At 37.9% G+C, this 26,117-nt stretch overlaps 1 protein-coding gene and 1 non-coding gene across 28 annotated transcripts in view; one reads left to right on the forward strand and one right to left on the reverse strand.

Annotated features, from left to right (window-relative positions):
• SYTL5 (synaptotagmin like 5) overlaps positions 1 to 26,117 on the forward strand; it is a 239,906-nt gene that overhangs the window by 121,974 nt on the left and 91,815 nt on the right. For 25 of the 27 annotated variants that reach the window (XM_017029972.1, XM_047442658.1, XM_011544001.3 and 22 more), the window contains one exon: positions 22,646 to 23,120. In XM_017029972.1, the coding sequence (XP_016885461.1) occupies positions 23,002 to 23,120 (119 nt within the window). In that variant the 5' untranslated portion in view covers positions 22,646 to 23,001. Of the gene's footprint in view, positions 1 to 20,111; positions 20,203 to 22,645; positions 23,121 to 26,117 lie in introns of those variants that run through there. The other 2 variants (XM_047442662.1, NM_001163335.2) reach the window with 1 other exon arrangement.
• On the reverse strand, positions 13,007 to 13,098 carry MIR548AJ2 (microRNA 548aj-2). The gene has a single exon (NR_039674.1). It is a non-coding gene; the product is annotated as a microRNA 548aj-2 (primary transcript).

Here is a 26,117-nt window from a genome sequence, read left to right on the forward strand (position 1 = left end):
TAATCTTCACAAGAACCTCATGAGATGAACATCATCATCATCAACATCATCGCCACTACCATTTACATAAGAATAAACTGAGGATCATAGAGGTTAATTGGTAATTGGACCAGATTTCAAATCCAAGCAGCCCAGCACCAGAGGCAATTTTCTCAAGCACTGAGTGCTATCATATCAGCAACTCTGTGTTTTAGAATCTGGTTAAAAGGGCATGCTCTGGAGTCCTAGACTGCTGTTACATGTTGCATCTCCAGTTTTCCTTGACAAGTGGTAATAAATGTTTGATATTTTTCATAATTGATAAAAATTACTTACATAAGATTTATACTAAGTAATCCAATGTCCAGTAATGCTGTGCAAGAAGAGTCTGGTTTTTCTCATCCATTATTCTGTATTTGAGCATCAAACAAAGGCCTCAAATACTGATGCTCTCTGTTTCCTAGAGAGTATGTTATACTGCTGGCCGGGCGCGGTGGCTCACGCCTGTAATCCCAGCACTTTGGGAGGCCGAGGCGGGTGGATCACGAGGTCAGGAGATCGAGACCATCCTGGCTAACATGGTGAAACCCCGTCTCTACTAAAAAAAATACAAAAAATTAGCCGGGCGCGGTGGCTGCCGCCTATAGTCTCAGCTACTCGGGAGACTGAGGCAGGAGAATGGCGTGAACCCAGGAGGCGGAGTTTGCAGTGAGCCAAGATCGCGCCACTGCACTCCAGCCTGGGCAAAAGAGCGAGACTCCGTCTCAAAAAAAAAAAAAAGAGAGTATATTATATTGTTTTGCCCTGTACTTAACTGATGTTGTACCCGTGTACTTAACTGCTGCTGCTGCCCGTGGGGATATTTTCTAGGGTATCTGTGAGTTTCCATCTTTGTCTTTGCTAACTATTTCAAAAGTTCAGGCTCAATTTTTGGAGTTGCTATGTTTGTTTTCTATTTCCTATTTTAACTACTTCTTGTTCATTTAAATGTTCTCTCACCGTAGTTTAGTGGGATTTTTTTTTTTTACTTTTCTCTAAGCGTTAGCTACAAAAATAACTTAATAGGCTTTTAGTTCATTTTCTTCTTCACTGAATAAGAATATTAAAATCAAATTTACCTTCACCGAACACTTAATAACTTTTTTCATTTCCAAGAAGGCCCAGTGCCATTTGTAACTCTTGTTAAAGTTTAATTTAGCAGTTTCCAATTTTTGTAACAGTCGACTTATCCAGGCTAATTTGATTTAATATTTCTAACAGAATGCCAGGAAACACTCTGTTCCTACAATAAGAACATGTCTGATTCATTTAAATGAATAAGAACACGTCTGGTTCATGTAAATAGACTTCAGCGGCATTTTTGTTTTGGTGTTGTGCAGTCAAAAAATATTTCCGAGAGAATATCAGGACTTGGAAAGAAACCAAGAAAATGAATACAAAACAACTCTAAGATACATATCATTCTAAAGCAAGTAAAATCCTCAAGACCAAATAATATAATTTAAACAACCATTTAACATTGATAATGTTTACTAAGAATGGAAGTGGTAGACTTTACCAGAAAATATAGTTGAGTTGGGGTGGGACGTGGGGGTGTGCAATAGAGAAACCAAACTTGGAAAGAAGCCATCAGATAATGATGTTCCAGGTTCAAATATAAACTTTAAATCCAAATATACTTTTATCTGGATTATAAAAACGAAAGTTCAGCAACAGCCCACTTTGTAAACACAGAACAAGAGTGATCATATCAAACAGGTTTACTTAATACAAATAGCAGAGTATAGACAAATCCATTAATATATCCCCCTAAGAGCTATTTATGTACAACAATAGTCTTCTCTCCCTGGTGTGAAGTTACATTAAAATCAGTATATGATTAAAATTTTTGAAATTGATTTCATTAAATCAAGTGACATTATATCAAAGATCAGTTTTCAAACAAAGCAGTAAGAGCCTATTGCAAAATAGGCATTTTTCCCAACTTTCAACAGATAATGGTATATCCAAAGATGTCTGTGGCCACAAACAAATGTATAATTTTTAAGTTGCATATTTTGACTAGAACTAGATATGTACTAAAAAACCATTTTGTGATGAAGAATCACTTCCCACTAATTGAGAGACCAGCACAGGGAGAATACTATTGATCTTAAATACAAGGAAGTCCAGACATTAATATGGAAAAAATATAGATTGGGATGTCCTGTTTGCATTAGCCATGTTCAAGAAGGAAGAATTTAATTTGCTTTGAACTACTCACAGCTGCCATCTAATTATTTTTGTTGACTGTTACAGAGTTTGAGCTCCAAACACAGGAAGGTTATTTCTAAATCAGTTATACACAACAACCAAACAGCTATTGATTTTCTTTCAAGTGAATTCCCATCTGACTCTTATTGTTCTTGTGAATAATAGTCATATGTATGGCTTTATACTTAAGCACAATAGGATATAACTAAATATTGGCTCAACTCAGACCTAAAGAGTAGGTTCCTGAACAGTGAGAATATCATCTAGTGATAATCTTTCACTGCTTATACTGGGAAAAATGTTGAACCTGGGTCAGCAAACATGAAATGTAGGTTCAGTACTGCTCCTAATGATAATGCCAAAGGCTCACACTTTCTGAGGATTTACCGTGACTCAAGAACTATTCAAGTGTTTTCTATGTAACCAAGGCATACAGAGGTTCAGTCATGTTTCTCAGAAATTTTAGAGCCAAGATTTAAACCAGAGTTCCTGCTTTGTACCAGAGTCACTTTGGTCAGCTTAAGTAACTTCCAAAGGCATCTTCCTGGGGTATTTTTTCCTGCTGCACCAATTTTTACCTTTCTTCCTGATTCTCAGGCTCACTCAATCTATACTGGTATCTGCGAACCTGTCACTGACCTCACCCCATCTCCAGCATCTCACTGATTGGTTTCCTCTCCATGATCTTTTCTTAAGGGGACCCTGCATTCTTTGGGCCCCTCATCATTACTCAAGGCCCCTAGATCTACTGGCCCCCTCAGTCCTCCTAGTCCCTCAACCACCACCAACTCCTCCTCTCCTAGCTTAGCTCCCCCATTCCTGCTCACAGGAGCCAGGTAGCATCAGGACCTCCCCAATCTCATTTTCCTCTCTACCCTCTCCACACTCTGACTACTGTTTCAGCTTTTATTTCTTTCTTTAGTCAGGGCAATCTGCTCTGATGTCATATCCTACATCCTCTCTACACTGTCATAATAAAACTCTTTTGGTATGTACAAGTGTGTACCCTCCAAAGCAGGAGTGCTGGGCACTGGTATAAATTTGACCAATACAAAATTAAACACACACACACACCTGTGTGTTATGTTGTATATTATGTTATATATAATATTGTTGTGTGTGTACATATATGTTATATGTATGTATATTTAATTCTACAGTATATTATAGTGGTCAAGAGCACAGTCAATAGAGTCAGACCCCTTAGTCAGAATCCAGCTTCACCACTTACAAGCTGTGTAACACTGGACAAGTTACTTAACCTCCCTCTGCCTTGGTTTTCCTACCTGTAATATGGGAATAGTGAAAGTATCTAAATCAAATAATTGATATTGTAAACCAAAAGGTATCTGAGACAGGTCTCAATCAATTTACAAAGTTTATTTTGCCAAGATTATGGATGTGCCAGTGATACAGCCTCAGGAGGTCCTGACGACATGTGCCCAAGGTGATTGGGACACAGCTTGGTTTTATACATTTTAGGGAGCCGTGAGACATCAATCAGTATAGGTAAGATGAACATTGGTTCAGTCAAGAAAGGCGGGACAACTCTAAGCAGGGAGGGGGCTTCCAGGTCACAGGTAGATAGGAGACAAATGGTTGCATTCTTTTGATATTTTGATAAGCACAATTTACAGGAATAGTCACTTATGCCTTAGTCTGGCTTAGTGAAAAAACAGGGCAAAGGAAGCAATCAGATACACATTTGTCTTCTGTGACAGAGGGATGACTTTGAGTTCTCCCTGTCCTTTGTCCACAAGAAATTTCCCTGTGAGAAAAATTGTGAGGGAGGTATGTAGCTTTTTTATCTTTGTAGGTATCTTATTTAGGAATAGAATGGGAGGCAGGTTTGCCCAATGCAGTTCCCAGCTTGACTTTTCCCTTCGGCTTAGTGATTTTGGGGTCCAGAGATTTATTTTCCTTTCACAATGTAAAGATTGTACTGTTCATATATGTAAATCAAGAATTCATAACAGGGCCTGAAACTTGTATATAAGTGCTGAGTGTTCACTATCATTATTACCATGACTCATAAGGAAAAAGCATTAAGGCAAGTATAATAATGGAGCAGGAAATATACATTTAAGTGGAAAATATAGTACAACATGGATAATATGACATGTGTGATTAATTACGACTTGAATAATGCGAAGCATGTAATTATTTTTGGCTTTGCATTTGATATCTGAGGAATCCCACCATTTCACATGAAAAAGTGCATGTGACAAGGAATCTTCCAGGAATTTTGCATTAGAAGTTCCTTTTGATCCTCCTCAAAACCCTGTGAAGTTAGTACTATTATTATCTCCACCCTGTATGAAAAGAAACCAAGGTTCAGAGAGGTTAAGTAACTTAGTTTCTGTAACATAGTAATTGCCAAAGCTAGGATTTGAATGCAGAGCTTCCTGACTCCAAAACCTGACTCTTTGCAATTCTCCACTTGAGGTGTCCATTGGAACCCCATAGGACGTTAAAAAAAATCCATGGAACACAAACTCAAGAGATTCTGTTTTTTTGAAAAGCAGCTTTTGTGAGATATAATGTACATACTGTACAATTCACCCATTTGAAGTGTACAATTCAATGTTTTTTTTTTTTTAGTCTATTCACAGTGCGTTTAGCCATCACCACAATCTAATTTCAGAACACTTTCGCTCTGGGCGGGCATGTCCACAGAATCCCTGGGGTCTTAATTTCAAAGCCACAGACCTTGTAGGAGTCTTGAATGAACTTCAAATGATTTGTGAACTTTTTCTAGGATCCACAGCTTTCACTATCTTCTCTAAAGTGATAAAAATATAAGCCAAAAATGTATTAAGAAACTCTAGACCAGAATGGCCTTGAACTTTAAGGTACAAATCACTGGGGGACCTTGTTAAAATTTAGATTCAAATTCAGTAGCTCTGGAATGCGCTAGGCCTACTATCATTAATTTTAATGATAGGAATGCTCACTTTAAGTTAGATGTTATGTGCCCTAAAATTCCATTCTTCTCTTTAGTAGATCTATGCTATGAAATAACTGCACTCAATTATTATTGTTATATTTTTAATGTCATCGGTAAAATATTGGCAGACATTTATTTTCTTGATTGATGCATACTTATCCACAAAATAGCTATGGTTTTGGCTCTTGGCGCAAAAAGTCTAAAATATTTACTAATTGTTCCTTAATAGAAAAAGTTTGCCAACCTCTAATATAGACCATGGGGGAAAGCCACCTTTAAGGAGCAGAAATGTTGTTCATCTTACTCTCCACAGCTCCTTGCTACATGTGGCAGACATGACATTATCAATCAGACTTATAGGAATCCTAACCAAGTATGAGGGGCAGCAAGCTGGCTATATTTATGTATAACTCCTCCTCTAGAGGAGAAATCTGGGCAGATGAGGGTCAACTTCACTTTTAGTTTAAAAATACATCTCCCTAGAGCTTCAAGCTGCTCTCCTGGGTGATAGCATGGGTGGGTGTCCACAAAAGACCTTCATGCATTTTCAGTTAGGTCATGTCTCTATGATCTTGGAAGCAAGATTCCCTAAGAGTAGTCTGCAATCCATATAGAGAGCTTGGTTAATTGGGTTTGGATGATGGTTCACCAAACGTACAGGTAGAATATTTTATCTTCTTACACTCACCTTCAAGCTACTTACATTAAGGTGTTTGTTCAGAACATTGAACTTTCAAGAGCTGTCTGACCATGCATTTCATATGTATGAAGGCATTTCTGCTTATTTTCCAACACTAACTCACTTTGAATGCTGCAAAAATGATCTATGCTATGTTAATGCCTGAATATGCATGACTTCAAAATTCTCCAGGCTTCAGGTGGTCTCCTGCACCATAAGCCTCTACTGCAGAGCATCCTCTTAGACATCCATCTTGAACTATTTTTTCCTTATGTCTTAGTCTATGACTTTAGATCTCCTAACTAATGGTTGATTTTTCAGCCAATTTTGTTGTTGTTGTTGTTGTTGTTTTTTGATGCGAGAGGTTGCCCATTCTCAAAACCCACTTCCTTCTTCCAACCAATGCCCATTGCTACAAGGCCCGCAACTGTGTTCAGCTTTCAGCATGCTCCAGGGGAACAAGTACAAAGTCTGACCTGGATGGAATTAGATTATGCACCAAAATAATTCCAGGATTTACTAATTTATATCATTAGAAACCTAGAATGTTAGGCCAAGGAAGATGTAATATAACACTGGATTAGGCCAAATGTATTGATATGGTGCATTTTTCAGAGATTCTGGATTTAGTGTGATACTTCTTGCAGCTGGAGGTGTTGTTAACAGTTTACTTGATTGTTTAGTTGAAATGTGAACTTAGCAATGACCTACATCATTGACTCTGTGTGATATACTTGACTCCCAGTTCATTAGACTTAACTAACTGCTCCTCCCATTCTGTTGATCATCCCTCTTCAGTCTCTTTCATCATCTCATTTATTCCTCTTGTCCCTGGACCAAACCGAAGATCAGGCTGCTTATTCTCATGGCCCGATAACGAGATTCAGATAAGCTGGGAAAGAAGGAAGTTTATTTCTGTAACCGGCTATGGCTGAAAAATATCTCCAGACCAACTCAAAATTACAAAGTTTTTTGACTTTGTAATTTTGAGTTGGTCTGGAGATATTTTTGACAAAGAGCTTATATACCTTCTAAGCTATATGTCTACATGTAAGTGTGCATTCATCTAAAGACATAAGTGATTTACTTCTTCTATTCTATAACTAAGATCTGACTCCTAAAGACCTTCCTCTGGAGCCTCAGTAAATTTACTTAATCTAAATGGGTCCAGGTGCCGGCGGTGATTACCCTTATCTTGTCTCCTGCTAAATCATGGAGGTCTGGGGAGTTCCTTCAGACCCCCAATAAACTTGTTTGTGGAGGTCTGGGGCGTTTCTTCAGACCCCCAGTAAAGTTTGTTTTATCCTAAATGGGTCCTGTTAAGAATTCCTTCATTATCTTGCCATACTTCAAGGCCCAGGAAAGGCCTGGGCAAAACTCTTGGTGGGCTTTTGTTACCTTCCAGCCTTTGTATAAGGGCACTGGCTCTATCAGCTTTTAATATTTAACTTCACCACTCAGTCAGTGCTGAAACAGTTGTTATGGAGGCCTGCGTTAGTGAGACCTGGCCTGCCACACTCTGTCCATTCTTTAAATATTGTTGCTTCTCATGATTCTATCTTTTGCCCCTTTCACTTCTCTTCCTGGTAATCTCACTTGCTTGCACAGCATCAACCACCATCCACCATCGAGGCACCAATGATTCCCAATTAAATACCTCTAGTATAGACATCTGATAAGCTATAAACAGTTTATGGGAAGTTTCCTATTCTAAATGCCTTTCTGGACAGGTCTTTGTTGTTGCATCATAAGTACCTTTGTTGTTGCACCATAAGTATCCGGACCTCAACATATCTAAATTGCAATTAATTATTTTTTTTTCTCTTTCAACGTTTTTTGTCTTGTACTCTCCATCACTGTGAACAGTATTATCATCAACATTTCTAGGCTTTACCCCCGTGTTACTGAATCAGGCTCTCTGGAGATAGACACCCAGAAATCTATTTTTAACAATATACTTAGGTATTCTTATGCACACTAAAATTTAAAAACCTTTGCAGTTCCCCATGCTGGAAACCTCAGAGTCATTCTCTTTTCTCTTCCATACCACCCACATCGAAGAGGTCACTGGATCTTATTGAGATTATTCTAAAACGTCCCAAAAGTGACTCTTATTTTCCTTCCCACTACACAGCTTTAGTTCCTAATCTCTCCCTGGCACTTCTGCAAGAGCCTCCTCATTTTGTCTACCTGACCTTTCCCCTGTCTTTCATCCAATCACTGAGTGCTGGTCTTTCAAAAAACAAATAAAAAATTCAAATATGATTGCGCTGTTCCTTGGCTTTAAAGCTTCAACAGCTTGATGGCATGAGAACAGTTTTCAGGCTTCTTAAGGTCATGGAATTCTTTCTTCAAATAAAATCCTACCAGGAAATCTAACTTATAGAACAGATGAAAACGGAGCTGCTCTGTTTGAAGCAGTCGTCGGCGCCACAGGCTTGGCCACTCAGCCTCTTTCGCTGTGTTTCCTAAGAAAACATTCCTGAAGATACAGTTTGAAAAACACTGGATAAAGTCCATATTCTTTGTTTGGATGCCAAATTCCTCCCACTCTGACATCCCCCTTTCTCTTAGCTTTCCAATATTAACCCAGACCCCAGACCTGGAGTTAGTCACTATTTCTTCTGGACTAGTTGTGTGTTCTTATGACTTTTTCACATTTGCTGTCTCTACAACCTAGAATGACCACTTTTTTCTTCCTAATTGTTTTTTCCTTTGTGTTCTCAAAGCCAAAATTGGGATTTATGAAACTGTGATTTTATGTTTATGCTTGTCTCCACTAGAAAATAATAGAAAATAGAGAAGCCCCTTGAAAACAGAACCTATGCATTCTTCATGAATGTATCCCCTAGATCCAGCACAGTTTCTTTTTTTGTTTTTTATTTGTTTGTTTGTTTGTTTGAGACAAAGTCTCACTCTGTCGCCCAGGCTGGAGTGCAGTGGCGTGTTCTTGGCTCACTGCACCCTCCACCTCCCACGTGGAGGGTGCCTCAGCCCGGGTGCCTCAGCCTCCCAAGTAGCTGGGACTACAGGTGTGTGCCACCATGCCCAACTAACTTTTTATTTATAGCAGAGATGAGAGCTCATTATATTGCCCAGGCTGGTTTCGAACTCCTGAGCTCAGGTGATCCGCCCGCTTCGGCCTCCCAAAGAGCTGGGATTACAGACCTGAGCCACAATGCCTGGCCCAACATAGTTTCTGACACATGATTCTATACGTGTTTACTGCACGAACATTTATATGCTCTATAACTCATTCTATCTGTTCTTTGGTTTTATATTTTCTTCAGACCGAACATGTCTTTTTGAATTAAACATCACTTTAGGAACTAGATGTATTAACTTCAAAGCTATATGACACTCATACTGTTCTTTGCCTGTGTTGTAGCCTAGCATGATAATTATTGATAATCAGTGGATATATGCATTGTGCATCATGACATATGAAGCAGAGGTAATATGGCTATAAGATATTTTTGACAGAAATGCCATTTGCTGTATTTTTTTAACTGATTTTATATGTAACATGTATTCATTGTAAAAACATATAAAGAAAATTATAAAGAAGATATTAAAATACATTTATAACTATCCAGAAATAGACTTAATATTTTGGCTTATTTTTTCTCATTCTTTCTTCTATAATACATATATGTGTGTGCATATATATATATATATATATATATATATATATATATATATATTTCTTTTAATATAATTGGGACCATACTGCATAAGTAATTTTGTATCCTGAGTTTTTTTCACTGCCTTTGTATTGTGAGCCTTCAAGCATGCCATCACATATAAAAAGACTATTAGTATTATTAATAATGGTATTAATTAAAAATTATGATGTTTCTAAGGAATTGCTAAGATTTATAAATTCTTAATAGAAAGTCTAGGAAGCCAGAGACCTCTGGGTATTTTGTGAATCAAAGGGAATGGAGGTTTGTGTTGGACTGATGCATTTTAATGACGTATTGCTTAACTTCATTGAGAATAGAAACGATGGAGGGGTCTAAATTTTCTGAGCATCTGTTATATGCCAGGCATTGTGCTAGACACTTTTTATACATTAACTCATTTTAATATTCAAATGATATATTCTTCAAACCCAGGAAGTAGATATTAATATGCCCATTTAACAGATGAATAAACTGAGATGCAAAGACAAAGTAGCACATCTATGTTATTATCTCAGGGAGTAGAATTTTAATTCCATTAGTTTCCAAAGCCCATACCCTTTCCTCTACCCCACACTTTCTCCAACACCAACTTTGAGAGGGTACACAAAGTCAGTCTTTTATTCTGAAGATGTTGTATTAGCAGTGCTTACCCTGTGGACCATAAGCCCTTGGGTGACCACAGTTTATAAACCCCTGAAATTACCTCCCTTTGTCATTAGAATGTATATGTATATTTTTGAGGTAGAGAGCCTATAGTTGTCACTGATTATCTAAGGGATCAACTGTTCCCAACAATGTTTATGAATCTCTACTGCAAATAATGGGATGTATACAAGTATTGCAGAAGCCCTTTGAGGAGTCTTTAGTTTTGCTTGTCAGGCCCTGTGGTGAGGGGCTATATTCCAATTTTCATTTTAGGCATCACTTCTCAAATGTCTTATTTTGCATTTAATTCATAAATTTATTCATTTGGCAATATTTTCAAATACCTACTATGGTGCCAGGAGTTGTGAGGTGTTAGGAATACAGGGCTGATCAAGACAAAACGAGATATCCCACAGAGCTTAGACATTAGCAGGGAAAACCAATGCATGTTGGTTAAAATCAGCATTTTAAATCAGCATGATGAGTGCTTGGCATAGTCCTTAGCATTGTTCACCAAATATTTACGATTTCTTCCTCTTGTAGGCAGATGGCAGGATACCATTTACTGGCCCCCTTGTAATTGGGTAGGGCTAAGTGACCATCAGTTCTGTTTAAGGAGTTGTAAGTAGAAATAATGTTTTTCACTTCCAGGCCAGGACATTTAATTCCTACTATGAAACCTTTCAGAACTCTTTTTTCCCTCTGGTGTGGCAATTGGCAGTGTTCAAGATGGTAGCTCCCTAAACAGCCTGGATTCTTGAGGGATATATAGCATGGCCAAGAAATATGAAATAAACCTGTGCTGTTACAAGCTGTTGCAATTTGCGAGTTATTTGTGTCACAACATAGTCTACCCCAGTACTGCTCAAAATGTCTGTGATGAAGGATCAGGTTGTTTGTTACTTTTATTTTCAACCTGGATAGAATAGTATTTTTGCAAAATACAATTTAAGTAAATTAGCAGATAAATGAGACATGAAATACATAAACATTCAAGTACAAATTTTCATCAGATTCAACAGATTTAAAATTACTCTGTCAAATTACTATAAAAATTTCTAAATGCTTATTCTTAATTTCTTTACTTATATAATTGCAAACCAGTAAGTTTACAGACCTGCACTGGTTTGCAACCCAAACTTTGAATAAAGCTGTATTAGCCTATCCCAACTGATACAGTGTTACTGTAAGAGAAGTATGAAAATGTATTGGATAGATACTATGAGTTTCCAATTGCTGCTGTAGCCAATCACCACAAACATATTGTCTTAAAACAATACAATGTATTATCTTACAGTTCTGAAGGTTAAAAGTCCAAAATGAGTCTTGGGAGACTAAAATCATGGTGTTAGCAGGGTTGCATTTCTTCTGGAGCCTGCAGGAGAATCTGTTTCCTTGTCTTTTCCAGCTTCTAGAGGCCATCTGCATTCCTTGGCTTGTGGCTGTTCCTCCAACTTCAAAGCCCATCACCTCAGCCTCTGCTTATGTCGTCACACCTGCTTTTCTGACTTTAACTCTACTACCTCCCTCTTGTAAGGATCATTGTGATTACATTGGGATCACCCATCTAATCCAGGCTAATCTCTTTATCTCAAGACCTTTCACGTAATCACATCTGCAAAGTTTTGCCATCTAAGGTAACATATTCACAGGTTCTGGGGATAAGGATGTGGACTTCTCTGGGAGCCATTATTCAGTTTATCATAGATAGCTAAGCTAAACTAGGAGTCAGCCATTTAAGTAGATCCCTGTGGATACTTAGGAATTAGGAGATGGAGAAATGGGGGAAGTATCCCAGGCAGAGTCTTACAAATAGGAAGATCTGGAGGTGAGGAAGATTATGGCTTTTTTAGAGGAATGAACTTTTGAGTGTGGTTAGAGGATAGATACGAGAGAGAGAGATCAGCAAGGGACAAATCATGAAGGGTTTTGTAAACCATATTAAACAACTTGAACTCTTAAAGAGCAAAGGGAAGACATCAAAGGGTATTCAGTATAAAAGCAACAATTATCAATTTGTATTTTGGAATTGCATATAGAAGAGCCAGATTGGAGGCACAAAACTATGATGCTGATGAACCACGGTGGTGTCACCTAATTCACAGCATGTCTGAAACCCAAATCCATTATTTCCCACAAAAGCCAGCACATTCTCCATCTTCCCTATTGTTTTCTTCTAGGATTCAATTCTTAACATTATTTTTAGCCTCTTTCTTTCTTTGGCTTCTTACTCTAGTCAGTCACCACACCTTATTGGTTCTTGAAAATTTTTTAAAGACATAATATATGGTTACATGAATACATCCAAAATAATAAACAATATGGAAATAAGTCCCTTTTCATCCCTTCTCTGACCCCTAACAATCCAACTCTCATCTTCATATGCAACCTGATTCATTATCAATATGTATTATCCTGTGCCTTTTATTATGCATTTACATTTATTATGTACATGCATATATCTACTGCATTGTTTTAAAAGCATTTGCATTAAAAAGCATAATTATCTTGTCTATTTTCAGCTCGCAATATAACTTAGATATTTTCCATGTCAATATATTTATTTTAAATGCCTCATTTTAAAATTGAACATCGGTATTGCTCTCTTTTCCAGCTTCGAGAGCTTCTAACTCTAATAGATTCTAACAGTTTCTAACTTTAGACTATTACAAACTTTATCTTATAACTTATTTTTCAAATCTTTCTCTTTTGAAATTTTTATTAAGGCTTTCTCTTAGCCAGCATTTTTAAAGGTAGAAGTAGTCTTCTCTTTAAAAATATCAAAATACACAATGCCAAGAAAATAAACAGTGATCTTAAATATTAGGTTGGTGTAAAAGTAATTGCAGTTTTTACCATTAAAAGTAATAGCAAAAACTGCAATTACTTTTGCACCAACCTAATACCTTTTTCCAAACTGAGAGCTCTGTGAAAATTCACAGTGGACATTAAAGACTCTGAGAAGTTCTGTAGAAAAAAAAATATTTAACTTGGTTTAACTCTACATATCCAAATTTTTTGTTGAACTACATCACTTGATATGGTTTGGCTGTGTCCCCACCCTAATCTCTTGAATTGTAGCTCCCACAATCCCCACGTGTTGTGGGAGGGACCTGGTGGGAGGTAATTGAATCATGGAATCATGGGGACGGGTTTTCCCATACTGTTCTGGTGATAGTGAATAAGTCTCACGAGATATGATGGTTTAATAAAGGGCAGTTACCCTGCACTCGCTCTTTTGCCTGCCACCATGTAAGACGTGCCTTTGTTCCTCCTTTGCCTTCCACCATGATTGTGAGGACCCCCACCCCAGCCATATGGAAATGTGAGTCCATTAAAGCTCTTTTTTTTTAAATAAATTACCCAGTTTCAGGTATTTCTTCATAGCAGTATGAAAATGGACTAATACAGCACTGTTAACAATTCCATATAATATCTAATAACATCTCATGGGATACTGTTGTTCCATGAAGTCACTGTGTGGCCTCAAATGTAGTGGTTACAAGCAGGGTCCCTGAAACCAAACTATTCTGAATTACTTACCAGTTGACCTTGGGCAAGTTACTTAACATCTCTGTGCCTCAGTTTTCTCATCTATAAAATAGGAATAATAGCAATTTGTTTCATTAGGAAGTCATAAGGATTAGTTGAATAAGTGTTAGTGGTTATTATTTGGAGCATTCTGAGGATACTGCTCTTGAAGTATTGGTATGAAGTTGATGGCACTGTTAGCCTCTCTACTGTTATTTGAAGAATCCATATCATTGTGAAATTAAAAAAAAAATCTTGACTATGGCACTCCCATATAATGTACCACACAGAATTGCCCGTGTGAGAAGAAACAGCTCTGTTGCAAAGAAATTCCTGTAATTCCATAGCATCTCTCTTTGAGTCATTCAGTTTGGGGTTCGTTGTAAAAGTACTACTTTTTTCTCTATCCACAGCATGACAGTTCTTACCTTTTGACAGTCTTGTGGACTGCTGTGCTTGTGGTAATCCAATCACAGCTGCTTTGCAGGATGACTGCTCCTCTATTTGAAAGGCATCCTCAAGGGTATTTTGCGTATGTGATTTAGCTTGTATTCTAAGCATCCTAAACATCTCTGTAAGTGTGCTGAAAATTCATCTAATTTGTATTGTCACATGGTGACAGTCAAACAGGAAATTAACTTTATTTCTATTAATTTCATCCTAAGAGCACTCTCAGAAACATTCTATATTTAAAGCTGCATTTCAAGTACACAGTAATGAGATATATTCAGATATACCCTTTCCTTTGATTCAAATATCGGCCCCTATTATTTTTAGGTGTGTGTTACTCAAAATAGATGCTTTTTAAACTTATGTCCCTTTGTGATGCTATGAGAGTATTTGACTACCACATCTTTTTGATAATCAGAAGTTAATGACTTGTCCAAAGTTATCTATGCTGAAAGGCAATAGAATGACATACAAAGCATCTTGCCATCTTTCTAAACAGCTTAGCATAGTTCAACAAAGTTACTGGCCACAGAGGGAAAAATCTACATCTATATTTAAAGAGAGAGATCTGTTTAAGTTAGGAATTGAACAATAAAAGAAAAATGAATTTCACCCTCCTAATCTGACTAGTGTTTACTAGCCCCATTTAACTAAAAGAATGAGGATCAATTACTCATTTTTTTCTCTACTTGATTAAAATGTGTAATGGGTAAGGGATTCTCCAGGTGAGGTATGAAATCGCTGAAAAGAGACACACAGTGATGATATATCCTCAGGTGAAGTCATTGCAGTCCAGATGCTGGTCTTCAGTGCAAAGGCTGAAAAATTTGATTTGGTTAGCACACAGCAAACAGATCTGACATGGGTTCAAACTAAACCAAATATGGAGAACTCCATAGACAGGACCAGAACATTCACTCCTGAAGGGAGAGCTCTATGGGAAGCCAACTTATAATCAAAAGTGTCTGGAAGGAAGTGAGATTGAGCAAGGGTAATTAGCTGTATGATTTGAGTGATTCGTGGCATGAAAATTTCTCAGAATGAGGCTCCATCACCTAGCATGGAACATGCGCTACAGGGAACAAACAACTATTTTCATTTTCATTCCCTTTCTCTAGTTGGAGTCTGGATGGGCACTGACATCACCTAGCTCCTTAGATCTTCCTTGTCTATGCCTTGGTTCACTGTCTCCTTTTCTTCACCCTGTATTTCTCCGGAAGGACTGCGTTATCATCAACTGCATTCTATCTTACTAAATTTATAGTCATAGTTCAGTGCTGCCTTCTGGAGAAAACATCCTGATTTTCTTGATAGAGTTTTGCCTACTTCTGATCTCCTTAGCCAACTGTTACTGGAAAGGGGTCCCGATCCAGATCCCAAGAGTGGGTTCCTGGATCTCACACAAGAAGGAATTGGGGGTGAGTCCATAGAGTAAAGTGAAAACAAGTTTATTAAGAAAGTAAAGGAATAAAAGAATGGCTACTCCATAGGCCGAGCAGCCCCAAGGGCTGTTGGTTGTCCATTTTTATGCTTATTTCTTGATTATATGCTAAACAAGGGGTGGATTATTCATGCCTCCCCTTTTTAGATCATACAGGGTAACTTTCTAATGTTGCCATGGCATCTGTAAACTGTCATGGCACTGGTGGGAGTGTAGCAATGAGGATGACCAGAGGTCACTCTTGTCACCATCTTGGTTTTGCAGCTTCTTCACTGCAGTTTTATCAACAAGGTCTTTATGACCTGTACCTTGTGCTGACCTCCTGTCTCATCCTGTGACTTAGAATACTTAACCCTCTGGGAATGCAGCCCAGTAGGTTTCAGCCTCATTTTACCCAGCTCCTATTTAAGATGGCATTGCTCTGGTTCAAACACCTCTGACATTTTCCCCTTCCCTTTTACAAGAGAATCCTTAATCCTAAGGGTTGCAGAGGAATGAAGATCCATCTTTTGTAACTTCTTCATGCTGAACAGGGGTGATGATATTCCTGCCTAACTATTAGGGTCTCTTGTATTCAGAGTAGAGAGGAGCTCAGTTGGAAAGTGTCATTACAGTGAGGGCCATTCATAACTCTTGAGTTCTGACAAAAGGTGATATCTGGAAGATTAGTAAGTGTTCAATTTAAGAAAATTTTCAGTAAACTTATTTTGCATTATTACACAAAGAGTACAACTGCAATATATTCCACAACAGTAAAGCAAAATAAGCAAAATTATCCCAAGTAAACTAAATTAGAAGGCTTTCCATGAACTGGGCAACTGTTGGAAACAAGCTGATATGGAGTCACTAGCCAATTCCAATATGTGCCCAGAATTATAATATTGAACCATATTTTTACATTACACAGCCCTTTTGTTTCTTTTGAGATGCAGTCAGACATCACGAATTGGTTAACAGGAATAAGCAGGGTCAGTCTAAATTGCAGGAAAAAAACGACAACAACAACAAAAAACAACTGATAAGACTAGAATTTAATAACAGAAGTACCATACTTCTAGAAACACAATTTTTCTCTGTCTAGTTTTCCATTTGTATTAAAGACAAATCATGGTAAGACCAATTTGATTGCAAAATAATCCTTAGTCTTATATTTAGGCTGATTATTTGTATAAAGTGCAGCAAGAATAATTATTTTTCACATAGGCTTTTTAAATTGGCTTTGATGGAATTCTGTCCCATAAGAAATCTCAAATAAGACCTTTTTTTTAAAGCCAAGCCCAGCCATGGGTTTATATCCTCAAATACCTATGAATTAATTCTTCTTCTTTTTTTTTTTTTTTTGAGATGGAGTTTCACTCTTGTTGCCCAAGCTGGAGTGCAATGGCAAAATCTCGGCTCACTGCAACCTCTGCCTCCCAGGTTCAAGTGATTCTCCTGCCTCAGCTTCCTGAGTAGCTGGAATTATAGGTGCCTGCCCCCATGCCTTGCTAATTTTTTGTATTTTTAGTAGAGATGGGGGTTTCACTATGTTCGCCAGGCTGGTTTCAAACTCCTGACCTTGTGATCTGCCCACCTCAGCCTCCCAAAGTGTTGGGATTACAGGCATGAGCCACTGCGCCCAGCCAATTCTTCTCCTCTTGAGGTCCCAAGATAACCTTCAGCTCCTGGACCTATTAGAAAGTGATATTCTTTACTTACCACAAGTCAGAAACCCTGTACAGGGAATGTGTAGACAAGATATAAGGTCAGTTTTCCCAAGGGGCTTTTATTGGCTCTACAAATCAAGTTTGATTCCTTAAAGGAAAATGCATCATTCCAGTCAAAGCCTTGGTAAAATAATCAGTTTCTCCAATTGTGTCCTGTTGCAAAAGAAAACAGATTCTTATTGTGCTTATGCAAATAACTATATTGCCATAAGTTAAGAATACTCACAAATAGGTTCCAATTCTGGAGAAGTCAGGTAGAGAGAAACAAATATGCCTCAAATTTTGTTCACAAGAGTACACTTTACTCAACTGTTAAAAGCTATAAATAGCTCAAAAGAAGAGTTTTCTTGTCTCTGAAAAACAAAACAAAGGATCAGCAACGTTTTAAGCAAAAAGTCAAAAAGATCACTTTGGTCTTCTATTAGCTCAATCCATGCAGTTAACTCCTGTCCTGCTTGATATTTATTAACATTTCAGCTTTTCATGAGAGTCCTGAAAGTTTTTTTCTTTATTCTAATGTCATAATCCCCAATGTTATCAGAAACCTGCATTCAAGAACACCTGTTAAAGTCCTTTAGCTGACTATAAACCACCTTTTAAATAGGATTAAAATAAGACAACAACTGTTGGTGGATGACAAAATGTCTTAGGGCAGTCACAGTCAAAAGATATGATTGACAAAGCAATTTGATTACCTCGGTGGCAATGTTGACAATGTTTCCTGTATGATTTTTATACCAAATAAGCCAAACGTCATTTTTATATTAGTGTACTACTAATGTTAAACCCTATCCTTAATAAAACTTTATAGATACATCTAACCAATTTTAATATTTGACCATAAGGTAAGATTCTTATACCTTTTATAACTCTTTACAAATTTATGTTAAAAAGTAGATTAGTGCTCTAAGAAAAACCTGTTGTGCTTATATTCCAATGTTCAATTCATGGAAGAACTGAATAATACCCCTTTAACTTTAGCCAATATGTTCACACACAGAATTTCTTTTAAAAGATTAGTTTGTCACAAGACTTTCCCAACTCACTCAAACCTTCAAGCATATCCTATCTAACTTCAAACAATCCTTTAAACTTTTAGGCAAAAAAAAGTCCACATTCCTATGACTTCTTATAATATTTTACCAAAAACGCATTTCAGTTTCTTTACACACCTTGCATGTAAAACTGTTTCTTCAGTTGTCTCAATAACATATTACAATGTTAGCTTTTAGCAATTTTTACTTTTGGTGAAAAACCTGGTTAGTAAGCGATTTTAATTATGTACCAGGTGTGGCACCTAAGACAACAGATAAGATTTGACTTTTTCCAGCATAGCTAGGGGGCATGGCTAACATCACATGTCCCCAGGTCTTATCTAGAATCTAATGCTCTAAAGTAGGTAAATTGAACAATTTTCAAAAGTCAAACAAGCAGTTTATGACCTTAAAGCATTTAGAAAGCTTAATATCTGACCTGTAAAATTTAGACCAAATGTCTTTATTTTATCAATAATCTTTAAAACTGTTTTTACTTTCCAAAGATTACTTAAGTCGTGTACTAAAAGGCATTACACTTTTTACTTTTCTGACAAAATATTTGATTTAAGCTCTTATTTTTAAACTAATTAAAGTTTTTAAAAATATCTCACACACACACACAACACATATAAATACACATACAGAAGAAGATTCAGTAGTTGTAAGACTTTTCATTTGCCAGTTTCTAAGTTTGTCTTTAAGGCATGCAGTTTCTAGGGCTTAACTTGCAGGCACAGCTGGAAGGCAAAACAGATATACAAAATTAAGGATCCCATTTTTATGCCAGATCCTGGATCCCAAAAAGAGGGAATCAGCCCATCTCCATAGGAGTCTTATCTCTCAGCGGTGGGTGGGGACTTTTTTTTAACCTTCTAGGTTGCCAACAGCATACTTCTCTGATCTAAACATGCAAAAAGCCACATATTCCCCCAATAACTGCCATTAGCCTTCCCCAAAAGTATATTTCCTACCTAGTTATTACACAACAAAGTTCTCTCATAATACTAAGCAATTTCTGACCCCCCAAAAGTGAAAAACGTTGGATAATGCAATGCAAAACAGAATAGAACCTTAGATTTTTAAAGGAATCTATCCATTTCCAATTCCTGGAGTTTCATGAGGAAAACAAGTTTTTCCCAGAACCCAGTCTGTGGTGCCTCCTCTGTTTTTCCCAAGGAGTCTCATGCTGTTAGAGCTTGAATATCCGCTTTAAATAAGCTAAATTTTAACCATAGCGCTCTTTTTAAAAAGTCCTTTTAAATCTCTTATTACCGAACCAGGCCAAATGGCCAATATTCCTGTCTTCTGAACTTTACCAAAGGTAATCTCCCAGGTGCTCAAAGAAAGGAAAAATTCCAGAAGGGAAGCCGGAAGTTGTTCATCATGGGTGGGGAAGAGAATCTACAAATGGCAAAAGTCACACAGATATCAAACTAGAAAAGACTCATTCCCTAATCCTGGAATTGAAGCTGGGCCACCGTTGTAAAATGGTGAAGCCTTTGATGCTGAGCTACAGCATTGGGCAGTTTCCATTGCCCTTCCCAGAAGGAGCTTAGAGCAGCCAATTTTGAACTTGCAAAGGCTTTTAACTTCTCAAGGTAATTTTTAGGGCTAACCATGAATTCCAAAGTTCCTGCTCTCCGGAAGGTGGAGACCAAGAGAAAGTACTGCCACATAGTTATAAGGTCAAGCTCTCAAGGAAATAAAATAAGATGAGAGGGAAACTTTATCCAGTTTTTTGTTTTTGTTTTTTTTAGGGACCTGCAGCAAAGTTTGTAACTGACCAGTTTGCTGGGCTGGCTTGAACAGCGGGCTTACAGGAGTCCTAAGCCTGTGTTCTATCTTAAGGTACCCTTCTCCATTATAGAACAACACAGAAAGACAAATTTATAACACAAAGTACAGATTTTACTACAGCTTAAGACTAGCCTCACAATTCCTTTTTCTGATTAATCAAAACTTGATAGAGTTTTGGCTACTTCTGATCTCCTTAGCCACCCATTTACACACCAGTTACGATAATATTAGTCTGTTGGTCCAGGTACAGATGAATAAAAATTCATTTAGGACTAATTTTCTTAATTAAACTCTCACAGGGCAATTTTATTTCTCTTATATTCTCACTTGATCTCTCGTCTTCTCTGTCACCTTCATGTGCTACCCATGGTGTTACTTCCCTCCCTTCATCCTCCTCACAGGGCAGACTCTTGGATTTTTAGAGAGAAGATTTGTATTTATAGCCCAAGGCAGGGATAGCTATAAGCTTCAGGTCAAGCATTTTTATAGCTACCAACCCCTTGAATAATTTCTGAATATGATTCTATAAAACATTCACAAAGTAAAGTCTAAGTCTGACATTTCAAACACAAAATATGTCTTCAATGAACCCTGGGTGTAATGATAACATAGTCATTCACTGAGTTTTCAATTTTTTTTCCATTTCATCACAATACCAGATGAGATACACAAGGGGTTGAAAAAAACAACTGTGTTCTTTCTCTGCGGAGACTGCAGTTGACAGTGATGCAAAAAACAATTAACCTTTCTGAAAAGCCCTGTTTATCCTAACCTTATTGTTTCCTGTTCTTTTCAAACTTGGAGCACTCTGGGCCTTGTTGCCTCTAGAGCTTTCAAGATGGAGGGAAGACCTGGAGTAAATCCAGAGAATATGCACTAACCTGAACAGCTTCCTAAGAGGGGGCTGGCTCTTTGTCTGTAGGAAGCAGTTCATTTCTGAGTCATTTCAGCAAAGTTCTGGTTTGGTGTACACTGTATAGAACAAACACATAGGGGTTTGTGGAAGTCGAGGAAGCTCTGGACAAGATCCTCTCCTTTCAGATCTCCTGAGATTTTGGGGTCAGCCTGACCTCATGGTTACTGGGAGGCCCCAAAGCAGCCTTTAAGTATGTATGTAGTTATTCCTGGGAGCCTTCCTAGAGGCAAGCATACCAAGTGTAACTTGCAGGTAAATTGTAGTTCATAGATCTTGGGGAAAGCTAAGGGACAGTATCATGGGATGATGCCCAATCACAAAAATCAGGTAGATTACCCAAGAAGTCATCATTCTTAAGCAGCTTTAGAGAGAGAATCCAGGTAACAAACCAATGAAAGAATGTGCTCAAGAGTTAGGATGAGAGTCAGGGCCTGGTGAGCTTCTTATGTTGACAAAGGGGTAGTTTTAAAACATCCATTTTACAATATACAATACATACCTAAAATAATTCACAAACAACCATGTACATCATGAGATATAAACACTCATTTTGAGAGCAAAACATTACCCAATGCATTGAAGCCGCTGTGTTCTCTTCTGTAATTGAATACCTGTGTCCACCAGAGGTAATCATGATCTTGAATTTCCTAATTTGCCTATATTTATACTATGAATGTAGGCATTTCTAAATTATATATATATTTGCAAGTTATATACTTCACATATATATGTATATATGTATATGCTATCATTTTTCATGAATTCTTCCGTAACGTAATTTTTTTTTTAAGAGACAGGGTCTCACTCTTTTGCCCAGGCTATAGGGCAGTGGTGAAATCTCAAAGCTCACTACAGTCCTAGGCTCAAGTGATTACCTCCTGCCTTAGCCTTCCAAGTACCTGGGACTACAGGTATCTGCCACCATGCCCAGCTAATTTTTAAATTTTTTGTAGAGACATGGGTCTCACTATGTTGCCCAGGCTAGTCTGAAACTCCTGGCCTCAAGAGATCCTCCCACCCTGGCCTCCCAAAATGTTGGGATTACAGATGTGAGCCACCACACCCAGCCTGTAACTTAATTTTTTTTATTCAGCAGTGTTTGTGAGATCTATTTAGGTTGATGCATGTAGCAGAGGTTCGTATTTGTCTCAACAGCAGGGCTTTTTATGCTGTGGGCCTAGTTTTGGAAAGGAAGGAAGAAAGAAGGAGGGAGCCACTTAAAGGCCCTGATCTGTTATGGGCAGTCCAGATTGTGCACTTAGTGTCCCAAAGTGGTGACCCAATTCACCCATCAGTCAGCTGCAAGAGTGGCGACGTGATGCAGCTGGCGGAGGAAGCTAATTATAATGGAGAAAACTGAATTTGCATAGAGAACCAGGAATCAACTAAATCCAAATAACATTTCCTGGTTAAAAAAACACTAAATAAAGATTTAATAAATGCATGTTTACTGTTTTAAAAAATAGTTTTTTGAGTTAGATACAACAAAATTTCAAAAATTAGGCAGTTTTACAAGTGCTATGGGAAAAATAGCCTAATTAAATTTTTCTCTCCTCTTTTTTTTCTCCACCGTCTTAGTGTTTTCTGCATTCTCTCCCAGCGGATCTGATTCCTGTTCTGAAGAATTGAAGTTGAGCATCGTTAGTTAAATTCAGCTGCTGCCTGACTGTATACCACAGCAAAGGCTTTGGAAACATTTTTCAGTTAAAACAATAATGACTTTCTTGGAGTGTAATCCCAGTGGAGGCTGTTCTACGTATAGCCTGAAAGAATACTTAACTACCATACGCAATTCTGCAGAGACCTTGTAAAAATCACACTTTACACCAAACAACTGAGTGATTCTGAATTGGTTGGGGGAATCTTAGTTGTAGATATCAATTCACCTTCTTGAAGATTCAACCACTGCTACTCAGAGCTGCTGCTGAAATACCATGTCTAAGAACTCAGAGTTCATCAATCTGTCATTTTTATTAGATCATGAGAAGGAAATGATCCTGGGCGTCCTAAAGAGAGATGAATATTTGAAAAAAGTGGAGGACAAGAGAATAAGGTAGTATTCTTTTTATTTTTTCAGTCCTCCTTGACTGCTTTCTGTTTGTTTGAAGCAATTTAGATCAGAAATGGGCCAAGTGCAACCACAATGGGGACAGATGTCAGTTAGGAACTTCATGAGTTCTCATCAGTAGCCCAAATATCGGAAAACTTTGGCATTTCACCATTTAGCCAGACATGAAAATGGAATTTAGCTAATAAAGTGGTATTGATGAGAACACTTAATTTGCTAATAAAGTCATAATTTTTAGTTAAGAGGAAGGACTACCTAAGTTTGAGTACCAGCTCTGGCAAGTATTAGTCGTGTGACTTTGAGCAAGCTACTCAACTTCCCTATGCCTTGGTTTCCTCATCGGTAAAACAAAGATAATAACAGTATCCACCTTATAGGGTTGTTGTAAAGATTAAGGAAGTTTATACATATGTAGTGCCTGTCACCTAAGTGTTCAATAAATGTTAGCTATTATTTATTTGTAATGCCATTGTCAGATCAGTCTTACTGGGGATTTGCCTCCAGCACAGCTGCGAGAAGAAAGGGACCTGGAGAGTAAAAATTTCCCATCATACCCCAGAAACCACTTGAATTTTTAAAAATAAGTTTCTTGTGAAGAAAGTTGAACGATGTGGGCACAGTTGAATTTCATATCCACTGTAGGCAGAGCTCATATTTAGCTGGTTTCCCCGGCATGACTTCACCTAATATTTCAGCCAGCATCAATTCTGATTGGTTGCGTCGCCTGCTCTAATTGGTCACATCATTGTTCTGATCATTTGCAAAATCCACTGTGATTGGCTGCTGCCTGTACCGTCTTTGTTTTAAAATATATTTGGTCATTACACCTTACCCCAGAAAAAAAGGAGCAGAAATAGTGTTCCTTCCTCAGTCACTGCCAACTATGCAATGTGTAGGTTTTGTGTCTTGTATGGCTCCCCAAGCTACAATCAGAAGCTTATGTTTATTTTACCTGAGGAGAAAACTTATCATGTGATTATATTCACATGTTGAAAAAATCTTTAATGTGCCCAAAGCCACTAGGATCTTTAGAAATGGAAATAATTTAAGTATTCTTGATTGATGTTTATTTCACAGTTAAGAGCCCAGAAGCTTCATTTCCACTTTTCCAAGATATTCAACTAATCTTGAAGAAACAAAAGTTTCGATGAAAATTATTGCACTTTTTCTATGCATAGAATTCAGGTGGCAACAAAATGTAGTTAATAATTTCAAAGAAATCATGAATAATATTTTTGACATTAGTAGTCAAGTCATGAAAAGTAAACTAATTTGTGTAATGCCCTGCCAAAAAAAATTATGTTGTTTATAGGGGGTGACATATTAACTAGGAATTGATGACATTCCAAGGGGAATTTAAAATCATTTCTGTCCTGGCTAACACGGTGAAACCCCATCTCTACTAAAAATACAAAAAATTAGCCGGGCGTGGTGGCGGGTGCCTGTAGTCCCAGCTACTCAGGAGGCTGAGGCGGGAGAATGGCATGAACCCGGGAGGCGGAGCTTGCAGTGAGCCGAGATTGCGCCACTGCACTCCAGCCTGGGCGGCAGAGCCAGACTCCGTCTCAAAAAAAAAAAAAAAATCATTTCTGGCCGGGCGTGGTGGCTCACGCCTGTAATCCCAGCACTTTGGGAGGCAGAGGTGGGCGGATCAGGAGGTGGGGAGATTGAGACCATCCTAGCCAACATGATGAAACCCCGTCTCTACTAAAAATACAAAAATTAGCAGGGCGTGGTGGTGCACGCCTGTAGTCCCAGCTACTCGGGAGGCTGAGGCAGGAGAATCACTTGAACCCCAGAGGTGGAGGTTGCAGTAAGCCAAGATCACGCCACTGCACTCAAGCCTGGTGACAGAGTGAGACTCTGTCTCAAAAAAAATTATTTCTATAGGAATAAACAATTTAATAACCAGATGCCCAGAGACAATGAAGTACAATGAATAGGACTTTGTTCTGAATATTTGTTTCTGTCATTATCAATAACTTGTATTAATAATTGTTGGCTGGGCGCAGTGGCTCACGTCTGTAATCCCAGCACTTTGGGAGGCTGAGGAGGGTGGACCACCTGAGGTCAGGAGTTTGAGACCAGCCTGGCCAACATGGCGAAACCCCGTCTCTACTAAAAATACAAAAATTAGCGGGTCACAGTGGTGTGCGCCTGTAATCCCAGCTACTCGGGAGGCTGAGGCAGGAGAATCGCTTGAACCCAGGAGGCGGAGCTTGCAGTGAGCCAAGATCGTGCCATTGCACTCCAGCCTGGGTGACAGAGCCAGACTCCATCTCAAAAAATAATAATAATAACAATTATTATTATTATACTCTTTCTTCCTTTTTCTCATTCCATTTTTCTTCCCTAGTCTTCTTTCCTTATTCCCTATAAGTAAATTCGGTTAAATTGGGTGTAATATACAACAGAGTATCAAGAATAAAGTCATTGGTTTCCTGGCTCTTCAAACTTTTTTGAGAATAGCATAAGAAAGGCTGTTTATAAATCCAAGAGATACTTTTACAGAAAAGAGATTTTCTAAAGCTACGTCTTGTCTCCTTGTTCCATCTGCATTAACTGCATTAGATGTGTTGTCTCATTTTGTTCTGAGTTCTTGTAATATGACTCAGGCTTCACCACTCTTAACAGCTTGGTGTATTCAGAAGTCATTCCAAAGTGGGTGGCATGATGTTGAGGGTGTATGCTGTTGAATCACACAGCCAGAGTTCAAATCTTACTTTCGGCATGAAATATCTGTATCATTTTAGACAAGATGTTTCCATGGATAAATCTAGTTTCCCCATTTGACAACAGAAATAATATCAGTGACATCATAAGATTGTTCTAAGGATTAAATAAGCTAATATTACAAACAGCTTAGAGCAATGCCAGCATACAGTAAGCACTCAAAAATTGTTGGTTATAATCATTAGCCCTATAGTTGGTTTGTGGTGCCCTTGATTTGCTAGTTGCAGTAGACACTATCAGTGCTCTACT

This window comes from Homo sapiens, chromosome X (assembly GCF_000001405.40).
Source record: "Homo sapiens chromosome X, GRCh38.p14 Primary Assembly".
Lineage (NCBI taxonomy): Eukaryota > Metazoa > Chordata > Mammalia > Primates > Hominidae > Homo > Homo sapiens.